Below are 21,675 nucleotides of genomic sequence, written 5' to 3' on the forward strand. Positions count from 1 at the left end.
GTTTACTTTTCTCCTTATTATCTGACCAGATGTCCTGAGCTATGGTGGTGGCCAATGTCAGATTCACCATGAAGCTTCAGAGTCCCTTCCTTCCAAGGCTCTGGGAGGGGCCCTAGCAATGTGTTTCATGGTCATCAGTTCTCTTAACATTTGCAAAAGAGCATTTAACTATGATCAGTTACAACCACTGTCTCTCTTCTCTCTAACTTCCCCTCCTCTCTGGTGGTGGAGTGGCCACAGGCATTTTTAAGATTCTGTGGTGGGAAAGTTGAGTTGGGATACATCTAACGGCACTTATAAAATGCATTATGTGCATGCTTTAATTTCATATTCTTCTTAAAGAGCCTCTCCTCATCCCCACCTGCCAAAGCATCAACATCAGATCCCACAAAACCAGACCTGCCCATGGTGGTGGCTTTGATTTTTCCTACCCAGGGTCTTAGTGGCAGGCAGTGGTGACAGAAACCAGCAACTTTGCTCCAGGTGAAGAACAGGCTCATAGGCTAAAAGAGCTGTCTGCAGACACCAAAAGGGCTGGCATGGAGACTACTAAGCATATTTATCTATTCCTGGTACATAAATTGGGTACAAAATTGATAGCATTTCCTCTGTGCCAGGCACTGTTCTAAGCACATCATTACATAGTAACTCTAATCCTCAGAAACAAGTTTATGAAATAGATATGATTACCTTCATTTAACACGTGAAGGAAGTAAGGTACCATGAGGTCAAGTAACTTGATAGTGGGATTCAAACCCATTGAGTCTGGTGTCAGGATCAGGTCCTGTGGGCATGTGACCAGTGCATATGCACAGGGCCCTGCACTGAGAGAGGCCCTGCATATACGGGATTGGTCCTGATCAGGGCCTGTGCTTCTTATCTCTCACTACATTATTCTGACAGTAGGCAGAATATGGCACAAGCTGCCCCAATAAGTATTGAGTTCCCCAGCCTGGGAGATGTTCAAGATGAGACTGGACAACACTTGAGCAGGAATACTTTCGAGGAGGCCTAAGTACCAGATAGGAGGAGAGTGGACTAGACACCCTTTAGCATCTGAGATCTGCTGAGCCTTGAGAGTCTAGGATTCTGGGACTTTCCCTTCCACAACTTTACTGAAAGTCAGAAAATAGAGGAAACAGGGCCTGAGGGAAATAGTCTAGTACATAGAATTTAGTGAGAAAGTGGGACAGTTCCCAAAGGAAAGAAATCTGTGGAAGGACAAGGAACCTGGAGACATTTCCCTAGACTTCTGGCAATGGCACTGGGCTGCGGTCCCTTCGAAGCCCAGCACCATTGCCACAAAAACCTGCTTCTCTCTCCTTTATCACCAGAAATGCCCCTGACTAGCTGCAGATAAATAAAATGAACATTCAGTTGGGGGGCCTTCTTGGTCTCAGTGAGCCTGTAGGTTCTACCAATGGGGTACCAGCCACAGCAGCAGCTGGTAATACCATGATTACAGCAGCACAGATGGGGTTCATTCTGAGACCTTGAGTTTTCCTGTCCTCTGAGGCTGCAGTCTTTGCAGAGTCTTTCCTTACCACCTGGAGAGCTGAACAGAGACTTGTAGCTTCAGTACTAGGAAAGGGCCTTAGGGGTTGATTCAGTTTGAGAACAGGAGTTCTCAAACTGTTCTCTGGAACCCACGTGTGTGTTTATGTGCTTGAGTGTTTTGGGGGACCAACAATTGAGGACATGAGAAACCTATGACCTTCTTCTGGACATTCCGTCATGGCTGTACCAGTAACTCTTAATGTTGTGACCCTGAGCCAGTTATTTAATCACTTTGATCCTCAATTTCTACCTCTGCAAAGGAGGCATGAGAGGATTAATGTTAGTACTCAACTTGAAAAATTTTTGTCTAGCTATTCCCGTTAATAACACAAGTTGGATAGTGCTTTGGGGTTTTCAAAGAGCTGTTCACATATGTAATCTCACCGGTTGTCTTAATGGCAAGAAGTCATATTGCCCTCATTTTACTGATAAAGGAACTGAGGCTAAAGACTTAGGAGGAAGCAAAGCCAGACCTGGAAATCCATAATTTTAGAATAGGGATCCTTTGTATTTTCTAAAAGTTTGCCCTTTTGTTCATTGTGCCAAGTTCCCACAATTTGATGTTTACATAGTTCCCAGACCACTCTTGTGCACAATGATGTTTTGCTTAGGTCTGGGGAGCCCTTGATGTGCCCCATCTTAGGTCTGCTTGGACTGGGAGGGAGACTAGCAGAGGGAGTCAAAACCTGAGCTCTAAAGTTAGATCCCTTGTGTTCACAGTTCCAATCTGTCACTCCCCAGCTGTGTCACCAGAACAAATGGCTTAACCTCCTGGAACCTGAATTTTCTCATGTGCAAAATAAGGACAACAGTGGTACCTACCACATGGAACTATTGCAGGAATTCCGTGAGATAATCCATGTAAAATGCCCAGCTCAGTGCCTGACCCAATGCATCTTAGCTGTCATTGTTACTGTTAATGTAACTATTAGCACATTCACACTAAATGTATCCATCTTTAAATGAGCTACTTTCCATATTTTGGTCATTGCACATTAAACACATTTTTAATCAACTTGTTTTAGGCTTAAATTGTAGGCTCCTCTGGTCTTCTTTTTAGCATCTGTTAGAAGTATTTTTAAAAGCTCTGCCTGAATTCATGGGGAGCCCCTGTAAACCCACTTGAAAGCAGATTTCATCACTAAAAACCCACAAAACACCTCAGTGTGAGTGGAGGAATCAGGATGTAATTTATGGCGTCCACTTCTTGCTGCCATTTGGCATTTTGCAAACTGCCATTGCCATTAGCTGTCACTTTTGAGTATTTATGATCTTGCGGTTGGAGCACTTTGATTCTCATAACAGAAACAGGGTCACATTTAGAAAATGTACCCTGGAAAATGTACCACCGAGCTGGAAACTGAGATCCCCCAGGGTGGTTGATGGATGGGGCTGCACAGGGGAAGTGTGGCCTGCCAGCCAGGCTGCGCTGTGCCCTTTCCACATACCACAGTTGGAAGCTATCTTTGTGTCTCAGGCCTCAGCCTGCCAGGCCTGGGCTTTCTGCTTGGCAGTGTCTAGGGGTCTGGGGCAAAAAGATGTGTAGCTAAATACCAAAACCATTTTCCATATGGATGCCCTTCACAGCCGTGAGATTGGCAAAGATAGAGCTAGGATTTGGCAGGAATTCCTCCATGGTCCTAAACTGGTTCTTTGTGTCCCAGGTAGCAGAGAGTTTGGGATCTTGCAAGTGAGGAAGCATGAGTTAAGTGTGGCACCAATATACTGAACTGGCAAGAGGCAGGACATTGTCGCCCCCTTTGGGCCTCAATTTTTTCTCTGCTAAATGGGAGGATTTGGTTTTGGTGAGCTCTGAGGACCATTCTTTCAGCCCCATTGAATCTCTTGATTTCAGAGAGGTGCTTGACTGTGAAATTATTTGGGATTTTTGGTCAAAAGAAGTTGAGCGTTTTGAGAGGAGAGAAGAAATTGCATTTAAGTTGTGGGGTTTTTTTTTGTTTTTAAATCCAGGCTATTCATTGTGTGTGAAAAAGAATACCATCTCCATCACTGTAATGCATCCGCACGCTTGTGAGAATCTGTCTACCAAAGAGTCTGAGGTGAGGATGCAAGTCCTGACTCGGCTATCTCTGTGAGACCTTGGACAGATCCCGGTTCCCCTTGCTTTGTTTCTCCAATTGGGAAATCCCTGCAGGATACTGCATTACATTAGGTTGCTATGTCTTCTTAAGCTCCTCTTGGCTGGGACAGTTTATCAGACTTCACCTTGTTTTTGAGGAGCCCTGGCCAAGCATTTTTTTAGAATCTGTTGGAATTTGTCTGATGTTTTTCTGATGCGTAGATGGGGGTTATGGGTTTGGGGAGCAAGATTACAGAGGTAAAGTGCCATTTTCCTTGCATCACATCAAGGATACCTACTATTAACATGACTTATCACTGTCGATGTTGACCTTGATCACCTGGTGAAGGTCGCGCCTGCTAGATTTCTCCACCGCACCATGACTCATGTTTTCTTCTTTTTCATACTGTACTCTTTGAAGGAAGTCATTATAAGCTGCCCTTGGCCTCCTCTTTTGAGAAGGCTTTTGGGGCCATTTGTTTATTTCATTAAACATTATTGGCTGCTGCCTGCATACCCGGCACAGTGTTGGGTACCAGGGTTGTGGAGTTACATACGTAAGACATGGCCTGTGCCCTTGAGGCATTTGGGGTCTAGAAGGCAACACAGACACATGTAGCAACAGTTACAACAACCCAAGGAAAGTGCAGTGAGAAGTTCCCACAGGCGTGGAAAGGAAGTCGCCTCACACCAGGCTTTTCTGTTTTCTGTTTCCGTGCTTTAAGTGAATTTTCTTAATGCCCTCTATTTCCTTCAACCATAAAGTTTTAAATGTTAAAAAAAAAAAAAAGCCTAGCTTATTTCCTTTCCATAGTTATCCTGAGACTCCTGGATATTATTTTTTAGGCATTTGCATAGCACTTTCTCTGGTGAAAGCATTTTTTAGTCATTAATTAGTAATCCACATTAATATGCAGATTGAATTAATCTATTTCAGGCAGAAGTCTGTCTTGAGGAAGCAAAATAGCTTAAGTGTTATTTCTCCCCACGTGCATCTTCTCCTTCTCCCCCTGCGCTTTACCCTGGTCATTATTAGGATTATTGCTGTGATTATTAAACGCTGATTGAGCACTGGAAGTGTCTGCGGTGCTTCGAAGAACTCCAGGGAAGGCAAGTCCCTGCTCTCTGGACGCAGAGCTGCACAGAGGCTGCCGTGGGGGATTCATTAGCACTGGGAAAGCGAAATTGGCCTCATAAATAGTCATCCTCAGGAAACAGTTTCAGCTGTCCTATTTTTATTTTAGTTGTACTAAGCTGAATTCCTTCTTGGCTGTTATTGTCTGAGGATGTTGGCTTTTACCTTCAGAAAAAAGTATATCCTTCATAATATGACTACCATTTATTGTGCTGTTACTGTGCACCAAGTGTTCGGCAAACTTTGTATTTGATTCGCACCAGCCTCATGGGGGAGGTTCTGTTATTTTCCTCCTTGTAGAACTGAGGAAGCCGAGTCTCAGGGAGGGGCGATCTCAGGGCTGGTCAGTGTCAGAGCTGAGCTTTGAATTCTTAGCCATATAGCTCCAGAGCCTTCCCTCTTAGTGCTTCTCTTTACCTCACCATTCAGTGCCTTCCCAGCCTCACTGCCCACTTTGTTTCTGTATCTTCACATCTTCCTTCCTCTTCTTGTTGGTCTCTGGGGAATACAAGTCTTTCTGAGATAACTCTGCAGGGTAAGTACTGTCTTTATTTATAGTAGGGCTGGCTCAGGAGTCCTCTGCTGCCACTGAAGGAGGTTCTCTCGCCTCCCTTCTGCCTACCTGTCCTTCTGTGCACAGTTCAGGGTCATCACCCTGGGCAGGGCACGTATAAGGCAGGGGTCCCCAACCCCCAGGCCACGGACTACCTTTCAGGAACTGGCTGGCACAGCAGGAGGTGAGCGGTGGGGCGAGCAAGTGAAGCTGAGCTCCGCCTCCTGTCAGATCAGCTGTGGCATTAGGTTCTCATAGGAGCCAAACCCTATGGTGAACGTGCATGCAAGGGATCCAGGTTGCACACTATTTCTGAGAATCTAATAATAAATGTAATGCACTCCCCTCACCCCCCGGACCCCGGTCCCCATCCGTGGAAAAATTGTCTTCCACAAAACGAGTCCCTGTGCCAAAAAGATTGGGGGACTGCTGGTATAAGGTCTCTGCCATTAATCGAACATCATTTATTGGCTAGTGCTGGGGTTACAGATGTGAACCGCCCATTCCTGTCCTCAACCAGCTCACAGTCTACTGAGGGAAGAAAACACCTTGAGTTCCAGGTGTCCCATTAATTGGGCACTTCTGTTTCTGGCCTTGTAGTAATAGATATCTGTGTTTTAATAAGCAATTCCCACATGCCAGACCTTCTGCTCATAGATTGATATCCATGACTCTTGTTGATTCCTCATCCCCTCCTTAGTGAGTGAGTGTTTTGTTCTCCCCATGTAACAGGTAAAGAAACTAGAGCTCTTAGAAGACTGAATTGCTTAAGAAGAGACATTTGGGACTTGGCAGAGCTGCTTTTCAAACTCAGATCTGCCTGAATCCAGAAGCTCCCTTTTGAGTTACCTTGATTGCTTCCCTTGTAGTGTTGCCCATGTGTGTATGAGAATGTGTATTCGTGTATACACAGGCTTACACTTACCATACATCAGGCACAGGACTAGGTCATTGCTATCCTTATGGGCCTGCCATCTGGTGGGGTGACAGACAGACACAAAAATAACCCTCAAATTTGATTATAGATACTACTTGACCTTGGGCAAATCTCTTAACTTCTCTCAGTCCTAGTGTCCTCACCTATAAAATGACGATAATAAAACCTATGTCCCAGGATTATGATAAAGAGTGGAACAGAGGAAGTACATAAAGCACTTAGTATATAGTAGACCCAATACACAATAGCACTGACTGCAAGTGTTAGTGAGGTCATAATCCCAGGTTAGAGTACTCAGTATGGGGTCAGCTTGACACAATTTTGTGGACTTCTCAGTCATTGGTCTTAGAGCTACAATGAGTTCTTCAGATACTTAAGGACATGGATCATTTCTGATAGTTTTCTGTGTCCTGGGTTAAGAGGGTGAACTTTCCTAGCAGACAAGATGGATGTGTACTCAACACCTAATAAATGCTATTAATTGATTGAAAACAACCATTATATTTTGTGGCTGGGGAAGTTGGGAAAAATCATGCAAGTGTAGCTGAAAGTATTTTATTGAGTAATCTTGAGCGTTGATAAGAGTCCAGTTCCTTGGATAAGGAAAGAGAAATTCAAGGCCAGGTACACAAAACCAATGAGAAGGTGCTATTTCACTGTGGTATGGAGCAGAGTTAGACCTGGGGTTGAGGCCCTCTCAGACGCTTCCTGGCTGTGTGACCTGGGCAAAATATAGCAGAGCCTCAAGTGTCCTCATTTGTAATTTGAAGGAAAAAATACCTGCCTTGCAAAATTGTGGAGATCAAATAAGGTAATGTTCAGAATGCATTTAGTACAGCTTTCCAGTGAGGAGTAGAGCTTAAATGCTCAGTAAATGGCTGGAGGTGTTGCTTTGAGGGGGCCTCTTGCTCAGATTTGGAGCCCCACGGTGTTCTGCCTGATAGATGGTCTATTTCAGATTCCTGTCATTCTCGCTTTTGACTGAGGTTTTTCTGGAAATGTCCATGGAAAGAATGTGCTATTGCCAGTTAGACGAGGCCTTCTGGAGAGGCCCTACCCCAGCCCATTCCTAAGGAGTATGGGTTTGGTGTTTGGCAGTTCCTTAGAATTCTGGGCCCCAGCTGAGGGGCAGAGCTGTGGGATTAGCCAGTTCAGAGTCACTGAAATGTGGAAAGGGGCAGAGAGGGGTGGGGTATAGAGGACAACAGCAACATAATCTCATTATAGAAAGTTCACGAAATGCAGATAAGTGCAAACAAAAGAAATTTCCCAGTAATTGTGACCATCCAGAGATAACCATAGTTGCATTGCATATATCTGTTCACATTTTTAGCATGCAATTTATATATTTTTAAGGAGATAATAGAGAGGTTTGTGTTAACAAGGTTTTTTTTTTTACATGTATCAAAACATCACATTGTACTCCATAAATACATATAATTATTGTGTCAACTAAAAATTAAAACCAAGCTTTTTTTCACTTAATATATTGTGAATAGGAATTATTTTGTTAATAGAGTTGTGCCTCATCATTTAAAAATACCAGATATTATTCCTCTTTGGGAGATGAATTCTAGTTTCTTTAACCATTCCTATGTTATTGGACATTTAGATTATTTCCAGTTTTTCATTATTATACACAACGCACACTGAGCATTCTCTTCAACACATATTGGCTTGTTTGTCCAGTTATTTCCTCAGTAAAAATCCTGAGAATTGGAGTCATCATAAGGCTTTTTGAATAACATTTTTTTCCCCTTCGCCACTACAAGACTTAGAAGTGGCATTAAGAGAAAGGATGCTGGAGTTTGGGAACAGGCTTCTTATTCTTCATCACCATCACCACCACCACAGTAACTTACAGTGCCCAGTCCTTCAGAATCACAAAGGATTTTCAGTCCTTGTCTCATGTGACTGGCTCTGTGAAGTGGGCAGGGCAAGGTAACTCCATTTTGCAGATTAGAAAATGGAATCTCAGGGAACTTTTAAGGGACTTGCTCAAAGTTGCATAATTAGAAAATAGTAATTACCAGAGTCTTGATTCTACTCCACTCAGTCTAATTCGATGAGTCTTTTGATAATAAAGCACTATTTTTTTAGGTTGGTCCAGGGTTCCCTGCAGGACAGCCATCTTGTTTGAGGAGGGTACAGTCTCTGCCCCACTTTGAACCTCCTGAGGCCGCACTTTTCTGGTGGTAGCCCAGAAAGCTGCATTTTAAGGTTTCTAGGGTGACTGTTATGGTTTGAGAATTGCTGGTCTGAGCCTGGGCCCTTTGCAGCACTGTTGTGTCCCTCGGGCACTTTTCTTCTTCCTGCTTCTCCTGTATTATGCTCTTTGAATACTCTTTGGTGCATCTGCCCAGGCAGCTTTTCCAGGGTTAATAATAACTGTGATCCTATGAGGCATAAACCCTCCCTGGAGAGGGTCCCAGTGGCCAGGCAAAAGCTCCTAAATCCCTGCTTCCCTCCTGTCACTCTCTTGAGAGCTCAATGACCGTGGGCACTTGTGGGATTATGCCCAAGCACTCAGAGCCCTCCTCTGTGTGACAGTATTGTCCTGGCTCAGCCTTGCTGACCTTGTCTGCCTAAAGTGTCTGAGGTTATTCTAGCTCCTACCCTCAACCCAGACTCCCAGATATAACCCATGCATTTTAAAAAGCCCTTCCTTTTCATTGGTCTCCTTGGAGCACAATAGCCACCACTCCTTAAAAGTGCTTCAAGCTTGTCTAGTTACTGTTTTCAGCCCTGGTCTCTTACAGCTTTGTTATTTGTTCTATTTTGGCATGTCTTTTGATTCTGCAAAGCTTAAATTACTTTCCTAAGAGTGTAGTAAGTCAGTTCTGTTAAAAGCACAGACCATGAAACACAAGCAGATCTGGGTTCACATTATAGCTCTGCCACTTACTAGCTGTGTGACCTTGAGCTGGTTACTTCATGTCTCTGTGCCTTCTCTCCCATCTGCAAAATGAGATAGCATCAGCCCTCACTTTATAAATATTTTTAGAGATGGGGTCTCAACTTATCTTATCTCAAATAAGATAATGAATGAAGGTGATTAGCAGTGTGCCTGGTACACTGTCATTGATGGTATCACTGTATCCTCCCTCGGGAACAGGGACTACTCTTTTGCTTTCTACTCCCACTCACTTCTGAGCATTTGCAGTTCCCATAACAGACAGAAGAGAAATGCAATATTTGTTGAACAAATTATTTGACTCTTCCTGTTTCCATCTGAGTACTATTTAACATAGGACTGCTTGCCAGGTGTACCTGGGTATACTTTCCCACATAAGCAACTTTCCCTTTTGGGGAGAATTTAACCAAAAGTGCCAATATTACGTAGTGGTTAATAATGCATAGTCCAGAATTAGACTACCTGGATTTGACTGCTGTTCTGCCATTTGATAGCTGTGTGACCTTGAGCAAATTATTTAACCACTCTGTGTCTCAGTTTTCTCATCTATAAAAGAGAAGCAATAATAGTTCTTTCTCATGTGGTCATCATGAGGATTAAAGTAGTTAATAGAATTAATTCTTTAAATAGGGTCTGTCACAGAGTAAACCGTTGATGAAAGTTGTTATTATTATGTTCTTTCAAAGATCTTTCAGGGAAGGAGTATTGCTGTCTAAAGGCATTTCAAGAAGTTGCTAGGGGAGCTGGTCTTAACACTCAGAATTCTTCCTCTAAGCCATTGTTTGACAGATATTATAAATTGGTCCCCATCTCTTCAGCCACTGGTGGCTTAATAAGGATTTACATTCCTGAGATGTTAGTGCTTTAAAGGGTGCTTAGAGAGCTTCTTGGCCAGAGTCCTCATTTTATAGATGAGGATAAGAGGCCCAGACAGGGAGGAAGCTTGCCCTGGTCACTCAGTGGGTGAGTAGCAGCACCAGGAACCAGAACCAGAGCCCAGGGCTCGGACCATGACAGCAAGCACTTAGTTTTCATTGCCATGTTCCGCAACCTGCAAGGGATGAGAAGGCTCATTTTCTCCCTAAACGGGAGCTTTGCCACTGCTGGGAATGGAGTGACCGCCTAGCAAGTGATGGATTACGTAGTTAGATAGCAGTCATGTGGCCTGTATTATTCCTTGCATAGCCACAGCCACATTTGTATAATATTAAGAATTATTTCAGGAGGCTGGGTGTAGTGGCTCATGCCTGTAATCCCAGCACTTTCAGAGGCTCAGGTGGGAGGATTGCTTGAGGCTGGGTATTTAAGACCAGCCTGGGCAACATAGTGAGATCCTGTCTCTAAAAAATTTTTTTTTAATTAAAAAAAAAAGAATTATTTCAACCTGCTTTGAAAGTGAGATGAGATTCCAACATATGAAAGGCTTTTTTGGGGGAATGCTGGATCAAGTTTCTACTGTGAGCCCAGAGGGCAAAGCTGGGACTGGTGAGATTGGGGGAGTTCAGTGCTTATCCGTGTAATAAGTTAGTTAAGAGTGTTTTCTCTATGCTGGAGGACTGCCCAGGATGGAGTGATAATCCGGCAGACAGCAAGGGTGGCAGATGTGAAAACACGTGAGCCCAGTAAAGGGGAACAGGTGCTGTGAGAGAAGCAAAGGCAGCAGCCAGAGAGGGCAAAAAGCAGGGGCAGCCACTTCAGCCTGGAACCAGGTCTCAAGGAGGTATCACTGCTGGGGTATATCTTCAAAGATGAATGTGTGTTTTCTAGGCAAATGGAGGTTGGGACTTTCCCAGCAGAGAGAACACAGCACAGTATGAAAAGTTCACCATTTTTGGTGGTCTCAAAACTCCTTAAGTGTGGAACATGGAGTTGAGGGGAGACCTAGATGTAAGATAGAGATTGGGGGTGCTGATCACCAGGGGCCTGTGGGTTCTTCCTTGGAGCTGAAGTCCATGGGGTGCCACTGCAGGGATTCTGGAAGCTCATGCAGCAAAATGAGCTGCACAGCTTTGCAATTTAGAAAGCTCACTGGGCTGTCAGCCTGGAAAGCAGGCTGGAATGGACACTGGAGTCCAGGAGAGCTGTTGAAGACTTGTGTGGTGATGCAAGGGGGTGGAGATGACAACTAGAGCCACCATGGTGGCAGTGAGGATGGGCATGCAAAGACAAGGATGAGAGGACAGAAGAGTCCAAGAGGTGGAGTCAGCACGACTTGGTCACCAGTCGGATACGGGGAGGTGAGGGACAGGTGATGTTGAGGCTAGCAATGACAGCTGTTGTGCATTGAGCACTTAGCTATGTGCCCTGCATGGTGCTAAGCACCTGACATGGGTGATCTCATTTTATCCTCACCAGTGGGTACTACCCCTGTAAGCTTGCTCTACCCATGTCACAGCTGAGAAAACTAGCTCAGAAAGGTTCAAACTTGTCCTCAGGTCACAGTGAATGAGTCATATAGCTGGGACTCCGAGCTCTGGCTTTTTTTTTTTAATTATATAGTCGTCCTTTAATAAATTCTACCTTTTGAACACTTTTATCACTTTGTGATCTTCATATATTAATACATTAATATATGTAAGCCACAATCAGAGGGGAGAATCTAAGCATTTAGTCTACCAGGTAATGATGAAAAGAGGATGTGTATGATTAATTCATTTGAAATATTATGGACGTCAATAAACAATGGAAATGGTAAGCATCTGGGATAAAAGTGGGCCTGGCCAGGGATGTCTGGTGATATCTTAAGCGCTTTTTTTTTTTTTTTTTACTTTAAGTTTTAGGGTACATGTGCACAACGTGCAGGTTTGTTACATATATATACATGTGCCATGTTGGTGTGCTGCACCCATTAACTCGTCATTTAACATTAGGTATATCTCCTAATGCTATCCCTCCCCACTCCCCCCACCCCACAACAGGCCCCAGAGTGTGATGTTCCCCTTCCTGTGTCCATGTGTTCTCATTGTTCAATTCCCACCTATGAGTGACAACATGCGGTGTTTTTTTTTTTGTCCTTGCGATAGTTTGCTGAGAATGATGGTTTCCAGTTTCATCCGTGTCCCTACAAAGGACATGAATTCATCATTTTTTTTGGCTGCATAGTATTCCATGGTGTATATGTGCCACATTTTCTTAATCCAGTCTATCATTGTTGGACATTTGAGTTGGTTCCAAGTCTTTGCTATTGTGAATAGTGCTGCAATAAACATACGTGTGCATGTGTCTTTATAACAGCATGATTTATAGTCCTTTGGGTATATACCCAGTAATGGGATGGCTGGGTCAAATGGTATTTCCAGTTCTAGATCCCTGAGGAATCGCCACACTGTCTTCCACAATGGTTGAACTAGTTTACAGTCCCACCAACAGTGCAAAAATGTTCCTATTTCTCCACATCCTCTCCAGCACCTGTTGTTTCCTGACTTTTTAATGATTGCCATTCTAACTGGTGTGAGATGTTATCTGATTGTGGTTTTGATTTCCATTTCTCTGATGGCCAGTGATGATGAGCATTTTTTAATGTGCCTTTTGGCTGTATAAATGTCTTCTTTTGAGAAGTGTCTGTTCATATCCTTCGACCACTTTTTGATGGGGTTGTTTGTTTTTTTCTTGTAAATTTATCTGAGTTCATTGTAGATTCTGGATATTAGCCCTTTGTCAGATGAGTAGATTGCAAACATTTTCTCCCATTCTGTAGGTTGCCTGTTCACTCTGATGGTAGTTTCTTTTGCTGTGCAGAAGCTCTTTAGTTTAATTAGATCCCATTTGTCAATTTTGGCTTTTGTTGCCATTGCTTTTGGTGTTTTAGACATGAAGTCCTTGCCCATGCCTACGTCTTGAATGGTATTGCCTAGGTTTTCTTCTAGGGTTTTTATGGTTTTAGGTCTAACATTTAAGTCTTTAATCCATCTTGAATTAATTTTTGTATAAGGTGTAAGGAAGGGATCCAGTTTCAGCTTTCTCCATATGGCTAGCCAGTTTTCCCAGCACCATGTATTAAATAGGGAATGCTTTCCCCATTTCTTGTTTTTGTCAGGTTTGTCAAAGATCAGATAGTTGTAGATATGTGGCATTATTTCTGAGGGCACTGTTCTGTTCCATTGGTCTATATCTCTGTTTTGGTACCAGTATCACGCTGTTTTGGTTACTGTAGCCTTGTAGTATAGTTTGAAGTCAGGTAGCATGATGCCTCCAGCTTTGTTCTTTTGGCTTAGGATTGACTTGGCAATGCGGGCTCTTTTTTGGGTCCATATGAACTTTAAAGTAGTTTTTTCCAATTCTGTGAAGAAAGTCATTGGTAGCTTGATGGGGATGGCATTGAATCTATCAATTACCTTGGGCAGTATGGCCATTTTCATGATAATTGATTCTTCCTACCCGTGAGCATGGAATGTTCTTCTATTTGTTTGTATCCTCTTTTATTTCATTGAGCAGTCGTTTGTAGTTGTCCTTGAAGAGGTCCTTCACATCCTTGTAAGTTGGATTCCTAGGTATTTTATTCTCTTTGAAGCAATTGTGAATGGGAGTTCACTCATGATTTGGCTCTCTGTTTGTCTGTTATTGGTGTATATAAGAATGCTTGTGATTTTTGCACATTGATTTTGTATCCTGAGACTTTGCTGAAGTTGCTTATCAGCTTAAGGAGATTTTGGGCTGAGACGATGGGGTTTTCTAGATATACAATTGTGTCATCTGCAAAAAGGGACAATTTGACTTCCTCTTTTCCTAATTGAATACCTTTATTTCTTTCTCCTGCCTGATTGCCCTGGCCAGAATTTCCAGCACTATGTTGAATAGGAGTGGTGAGAGAGGGCATCCCTGTCTTGTGGCAGTTTTCAAAGGGAATGCTTCCAGTTTTTGCCCATTCAGTATGATATTGGCTGTGGGTTTGTCATAAATAGCTCTTATTATTTTGAGATACGTCCCATCAATACCTAATTTATTGAGAGTTTTTAGCATGAAGGGCTGTTGAATTTTGTCAAAGGCCTTTTCTGCATCTATTGAGATAATCATGTGGTTTTTGTCGTTGATTCTATTTATATGCTGGATTACATTTATTGATTTTCCTATGTTGAACCAGCCTTGCATCCCAGGGATGAAGCCACTTGATCATGGTGGATAAGCTTTTTGATGTGCTGCTGGATTCGGTTTGCCAGTATTTTATTGAGGATTTTTGCATTGATGTTCATCAGGGATATTGGTCTAAAATTCTCTTTTTTTGTTGCGTCTCTGCCAGGCTTTGGTATCAGGATGATGCTGGCCTCATAAAATGAGTTAGGGAGGATTCCCTCTTTTTCTATTGATTGGAATAGTTTCAGAAGGAATGGTAACAGCTCCTCCTTGTACCTCTGGTAGAATTCAGCTGTGAATCCATCTGGTCCTGGACTTTTTTTGGTTGGTAAGCTATTAATTATTGCCTCAATTTCAGAGCCTGTATTGGTCTATTCAGAGATTCAACTTCTTCCTGGTTTAGTCTTGGGAGGGTGTATGTGTTGAGGAATTTATCCATTTCTTCCAGATTTTCTACTTTATTTGCATAGAGATGTTTATAGTATTCTCTGATGGTAGTTTGTATTTCTGTGGGATCAGTGGTGATATCCCCTTTATCATTTTTTATTGCGTCTATTTGATTCTTCTCTCTTTTCTTCTTTATTAGTCTTGCTAGTGGTCTATCAATTTTGTTGATCTTTTCAAAAAATCAGCTCCTGGATTCATTAACTGCTGCGCCTCACCATTCCTTGGGTTTCTGGCTTAGGCCACTGAGGGAATGAGGGCATTTTTCTTTCATGCTGGTCATATAGAGGAGTCAGAGCGGGAGAGGTTGACCCAGTCTTATAGTCCCATATGAGGAATGGCAGTATTTTAGGCTCCAGGCTCCAGATAAGTTGCTGGAATGTCTATGGAGATACTAGAAATGGCTAAGAATGGTTTTGAAAGAGCTCTCAGTAGCTTTGCAGCTTTGCTTTCCTTTTCTGGTGCAATGAGAAAGATTGGGAGTCAAATCCAGCTTCTAGTTTAGTCCCTGTGTTACCAGCTATCTGATCCTAGGTAAGTCACTTTAAGTTCCTGGGCTTGCCCCTTTTCCTTTCACATAATGCAGTTCCTGGTCTAGTCTTGACGTGCATTTGTTCAAACACAGATTTCTGGCCCCCATGCCCAAAGTTGTGATTCAGTAGGCCTGATGTGGAGCCTGAGAATTTGCATTTCTAATAAGTTTCTAGGAGATGCTAATGCTGCCGGACTGGGGACCGCACTGTCCTAGGTGCTCTTTCTGTTCCTTTTGAGCAAGTGAGCTCCATTCCAGTGGGCAGAGACAAAGCAGGCAAATGCACACACCAATATTAATACCAGAGGGCATTCAGTCCAAGGCAGACAGCATAAATCAAGCAAAATGGGTGGCACTTTGAAATGACAACAGAGTAGAATTCATCCTGCCCTTCCATTCTCTCCTACTCTTTTTTAATCCTATGCCCACCACCAGTAAGACCAAGGCCAACTCCAGCCCCCCCCAGTAACTTGTTTCCCTTTGTGGGTTTCAGGATAGATGGGTCCATGGAGGAGTCCTATATACCAACTGTGGTCAGGGCCAAGACACCTGCCCCAAACAGTTGATGGACTGAAGATACCCAAGAGAGGCACAAACTCCCCATGTCACAGGAGTCTACCAGTTTGAGAGACAAAACTTCTACTAAAGTAGCCTACAGGGCTGCCCTTTACCCTAGGCAGCAGAAGCCTATGGTCTGAGTATTGCCTTTGGGTGAGGAGAAGAAAAGCTTCTCTCTCTTGCTACCCCACAGATCACCCATGTTGGCCTCCTTGGCCTTCAGGGGCATATAAGGGAATTTTTTTTTCTTGACCACACTCTAGGCATGAGCAGCATCAGGCCTCCCTGTGACCCTGTGCCAGAAATCTGATGAAGAAATTCCAGGGAGACAAATGGAGATTACATGGAAATCAATCATGCACAGCTGGTGTTTTCTGCAGGCAACTGTTCAATTTTATTTCCTTTTCATTTTTCTCCCCGTTCCCGGGGATCAACTCCTTTAAGAGCTTGACACCAGCTAGACTTGTGCGATTAAGTGGTAAACTTAAACTGGCTGCTGCAGCCCCCTATGTGTTTCTGTGGAACTGGGAGATTGTTCAGGGCAACTGATAAGTCAGTCCTTTGGACCACTGATGGCATGGAAACTATTTAAAGGCATTTTGGTCTTTCTTTCTTGGAGTCTTACTTCCAATTGTCTAGGTGGGCTTTTAAATTATTTTTCGATAAAGCCCATGCATCATTTTGGCTGCTTCAGCTGCAAGTGATGGAAGACCCAGCTCATTTAAATGATATGGAGATTCATTATTTCATTTATCAAGAACCCTGGCACAAGGGGGACTATGGGGTTAATTCATTCAGTGGCTCAGCAGCATAATCTGAAATTCATATTCCTGCCACTTCTCTGTACTTAAATGTACATGTACAGCATGTACTCCCCAGGTTAAAGTTTCTCATCGCCCCAAGATGGCTGGTGCAGTTCCAGACATCACACATAGACACTGAAACCTCCAGGATGGATCACTGGACAAAATCAGAGTTCTGTTAGGAAGGAGGAGGGGGTTAGAGTGAGAAATAACCACCAGAGTCGCTCAATCTAGGTGTCAATCCTTGTTGAGAAACATTTACCCATTCTCTGCTGCTTAAAAGATTACAAACATCTTGTCCTGACATCATTTGACTTCCACAGTATGCCCTGACTTCTTAGTTTTTATTTTCTCCCATATCCTCTGCATATAGCCATTGCACAGCCAAACAGGAATATCTGCTATTGCCAGAATTTGCCACATGTCTGGTTTCTACTTTCTTGCCTTGCTTAGGCTGTGCCCTGTATCTGGAATATACTCTGTTCATGATCCCTGTCTCAACACAAACATGTCCAGGGACCGGGATAAAAGCAGAGACTTTCTATTCTCCCTCTTGTCCCTATCTTTTTTAGACAATCTTTTTATTGCAAAATAAAATACAAGATACAGAAAGCTAAACAAAACTGTGAACGTAATGAATTGTTATAAGGTGAACCCCTTTGGAGCCACTACCGGCTAAAAAGTGGAACATTGCCATTCCCTCCAGAAACCCCTTCTTGTGCCCCTTCTGATCACAGCCCCCTCTTTCCCCTTAATAGTAACGTTACTTTTATACCAGTCACTCTTTTCATTTTAAAAATGGACTTATCACCCGAATGTGTACCCATATTAGTTTAGCCTTACCCATTTTTAAGTGTGATGTTTTTAAAGTCTCAATCTACAGGTTTCCCCTTCATTTTTTCTTTTCCTTGCAATTTATCTGTTGAACAACACAGACCTGTCAGATTTTCCACAGTCTGGATTTTGCTGATTTTACTCTCGTAGTTCAAGTTAACATATTCCTCAGTTTTCTTTACTTTTTGCAAATTGGCAGCTGGATCCAGAGACTTGGTCAGACTGGCATTGACCCCTCTGGCAAGAATTAGGGGATGCCATGTTTCTACACCAGGAGGCACATTACATCTTCTGGTATTTTATCATTTCTTTTTCATTTATTCAGTGGGAATCTCTTCAAATTGGACCCTGAGTCCTTGTGACATGACCTCAGTAGTCTTTGATGACTGCCTTGCTCTCTGCTGCATTAAGATATTCCAGATCCATCTGGCACATTCCCTACACCAGACCTGGAATTCATCATTTCTCTAAGAAACTGCTTGGTTTCTTTTAGAGGGAAATGGTATTTTAAGACCACAAATTGGGCATTAGGAATGCTCTTTGCTACTGGGCTTGTTTCTTGCCTTGAGATTGGACAGGGGGAGGAGATTATAAATATGTTTATAGTTGTATTTTATTTACATTTAAAGAGAAAATACCCTGTGAGTTCATAAATATATAAATTAAAGACTGTTGAATTTTTTCTCTATTATATTTCTGTAGCTCCTTTCTTTATAGCAAGAGCCCTGGTTTTCAAGGATACAGGAGGTAGTAGAATTAGATTCTTGTCTTACCCATGTTATACACACAACAATATCAGAATAGCAATACTAATGCTACCGCTGATATGATTATGGAAAACACTAAACAGTATTTTTTGCATATGCTCTCCCATTTCCCCCATTGTTTCTATAGTTGTCCTGTATCTATGTTATACCACTGTCTCCCTCTTAACTTCCACTTAGTTCTACAGGTGAGTATATAGGTGAGTATATAGTTAATATTCACCATCAGTTTGTATGTTGATGTTTCTCCAATCAGTTTGCTTGCCTGAAGCTCTACCTCTAGTAGATTCCTTACGGAGCACTAGTGGGAACAATATTTTCTGAGTACTTAGATATTGATAACAGTTTTGCCCTTTATACTTGAAAGTTGGTTTTGCTGGATATAAAATTTGTTGTTCACTTTTTCTTTCCTTGCGTATCTTGTTGTTCTAGTTTCTTCTGGCATTAAGATGTTTACTACCATTACACTATCTGGTGATAATCTATTTTTTTTTCCTTTATAAGTCCCTTGCTCTTTTTTTCTAGATATCTAAAAGGATGTTCCCTCCTTTTCTCCTTCATTCCTTCCTTCCTCTTTTTCAGTACATTAATGCCTTAGTGTTGGTTGTCCTGAGCTGACATTCTTAAGTTATGTCCTGGGCTCTTTCAGTTTGTGCTTTCAAATCTTCTTTTCCCTTAAATTTCAGGAAATTTTTATTGAATTTTAGTTTTTCATATTTTTTCCTTATTACCTTGTTTTGGTTTTCTTATTCAGGGGCTCATCTTATCTGTATGTTAGATCTTCATTACCTGTCTTTGGTATTTCTCTGTAGTCACTTTCTCTTGAGTCTTTACCTCTTTTTTTCCCCATTTCATCTTGATTTAAAATTTTTATCTGCTTTCACTTATTTGGGGCATTAACTGTTTTTTGTTTGTTTGGTTGGTTGGTTTTTTAGTGGTTTTTTTTTTTTTTTTTTTAGTTTAGTCTTCATTTGTGAAATGGTTTTTTTTCTTTTATTTCTAGTTCTTTGCTGAATTTGTTGCCTCGTTTCTGAGTCTAATTTTAACTTACGTCGTATACCTTAGAGCATTTTCTTAATGTCTTTTAACTAATTTTGAAAACATAGGTTGCAGTTTGATCTGTTTTGTGACCATGTCTTTCAGGCATGCTTTCATTGTCTATAGAAAGTCCTTTGTAGGGACATGGATGAAGCTGGAAACCATCATTCTCAGCAAATTATCGCGAGGACAAAAAACCAAACACCGCATATTCTCACTCATAGGTGGGAATTGAACAATGAGAACACTTGGACACAGGAAGGGGAACATCACACACCGGGGACTGTTGTGGGGTGGGGGGAGGGGGAAGGGATAGCATTAGGAGATATACCTAATGCTAAATGATGAGTTAATGGGTGCAGCACACCAACATGGCATATGTAACAAACCTGCACGTTGTGCACATGTACTCTAAAACTTAAAGTATAATAATAATTAAAAAAAGAAAATATTCTGCTTTGTATTTTTTTAAAAAATAACAATTTAGTATGGGATTTGACATCAGTACTTTTAAGTTATCCATATTTTGGTGAAATTAGTTGTCTTGAACTTTCAGAAGAAGGTGGGATTCAGGAAAGCTTTTCTAACTTCATAAAGCCTCCTCTTTTTTTTTTTTTTTTTTTTTTTTTGGTGTGGTATTAAAAAACATGGTGGCTTGCTTTCTTAGATTTCCTGGCTGTGTTTCTCTCTCCTACTTTTATCTGAAATTCCTCTTTCCTTTGTCTCCATTGTTCCTGTCCTGCTCAGTTTGGACTTACCTCTTTGCAGATCTACCTCAGTGCAGGTCTTGATCCGCCCTAGAAGATCAGCTTTAAGAGTTCATAGGAGTGAGGTGGCCCCGTCCCCTTCAGACCTGCTCACTGTGGACCTTCTACACTCACCCATTACTGCATTGGGCAGAAATCCTCCCAGTTTTGACTGCAGTTCTTACCTTAGCCCATAGTGCTCTCCCAGAGAATGTTGGCTGTTTTTTTGTTATGCTCTCAGGACCAGCAGCCACTGTTTCCATTGCTTCCTATTTCCTCCCACACAGGTGCTGGTAACATGGAAGCCTCATGGTTAGTAGTGGTTTGCTCTCACCCACTTGTATAGGGTTCATAGGGATGCCTTGTTAGCAAATTTGGTTGTATATGTTGTTTTATGGATTTTTCTATGTTTGCTTTGTGTGTGTTTCTGTGGGGATTCAGAGATACTGAAGAACTTTGTTGCTTCTATGGCCATCTTATTCTTCATCCCTTTGATTCTTCCAGTGCCTCTTACATATATAGTAGATGCTCATAAATATTGAGATCACACTGAAGAATCATTCCTGTTGGCAAAGAAATGTTTACTAAGAGATGTTTTGTTTTTTGCAGCCCTTTTGGTCCCAGAATTCCCACAGAGGTGTTTCTTTTCTTTATTTCTTTTCTTTTTTTTTTTTTTCTGTCTCCAGGTAACTTTTATTAGTAATGAATTCCTGAAAGAGGGATAACATCAAATCAGGAATTTTTTACTGGCATCAATACCTCTTTGAAAAAAGTCTGTAGCCCCAGGAAGGCAAGCATACTTTTATGCCGAGTGGTAATTCTGATCAATTGATAATGACTTTCTGAAGCATTGTATTGAGAAGATGTCTAAGGCCACATTACAGCTTGCTGGGTATATAAATTAGCATACTTTTGGCTGCAAGTAACAGAAAACTCTATTCGAAATGACCAAAACAATAAGTGCATTGAATATATTAAGACAACAAGAAGTTCAGGGGCAGGTAATTTAGCAGCTCAATAATGTCATCAGGGACCTGGTTCTTCCTATCTTTCTTTGCTATCATCCTCTGCATGTCTGCTTTTTTCCTTCAGAGATGTAAGATTCCTGTAGGAGCTCCTCCCAGAAGCAGAGAAGGGCATCGTTGTTGTTGTTTTTAGAGACAAGGTCTCACTATGTAGCCCAGGTTGGTCAACTCCTGGGCTCAAGCAGTCTTCCTACCTCAGACTCTCAAAGTGCTGGGATACAGGCATGAGTCACCATGCCCAGCCCCTTTATTACCTTCTAATCAGTGAGAAAATCCTTTCCCTAACTCCTGTCTCTAACCCCGAACAGACTCCCTCAATTGGCCCTATCCTTGAACTAATCTCTAATAATTAGGAAAATGGGACCACCAGGATTGGTGCAGACTCATCAAGGTATATCCCTCAATTATGTGAGGGAAATCTGGTACGTATGTGAAAGTCAGGGCCCTGCTGGCATGGCAAAAGGAGGAAATGGCTCTTGGATAAGCAATTGCAGTGCCGGGTATAATGAGAAAGAGTGTCGTGATTGATAAACTACATCTGCCACAAGCATAGGACAGAGATGTGATATCATGAGGTCATGTATTGGTTGCACCTGATAGAACTTTTTATAGGTTAAAAAAATGTTTTCACAGACATTATCTCTACTGTTGGTCAACACTCCTTGACCTAAGCAGCTCAATGGTT

The 21,675-nt window shown here is 42.1% G+C and overlaps 1 protein-coding gene across 1 annotated transcript in view, besides 2 other annotated features; it reads left to right on the top strand.

Moving 5' to 3' along the window:
* The window catches only part of GALNT10 (polypeptide N-acetylgalactosaminyltransferase 10), a 230,252-nt gene that overhangs the window by 43,151 nt on the left and 165,426 nt on the right, over positions 1-21,675 (top strand). The window lies entirely within an intron of this gene.
* Positions 3,997-4,046: an enhancer, noted in NCBI's record as "active region_23474". NCBI's record gives its function as "activates an Ori minimal core promoter by ATAC-STARR-seq in GM12878 lymphoblastoid cells {active_cell/tissue: GM12878}" and the evidence as "EXISTENCE:reporter gene assay evidence [ECO:0000049][PMID:35858748]".
* Positions 10,760-10,809: a silencer, noted in NCBI's record as "silent region_16538". NCBI's record gives its function as "represses an Ori minimal core promoter by ATAC-STARR-seq in GM12878 lymphoblastoid cells {active_cell/tissue: GM12878}" and the evidence as "EXISTENCE:reporter gene assay evidence [ECO:0000049][PMID:35858748]".

Source organism: Homo sapiens, chromosome 5 (genome assembly GCF_000001405.40).
Source record: "Homo sapiens chromosome 5, GRCh38.p14 Primary Assembly".
Lineage (NCBI taxonomy): Eukaryota > Metazoa > Chordata > Mammalia > Primates > Hominidae > Homo > Homo sapiens.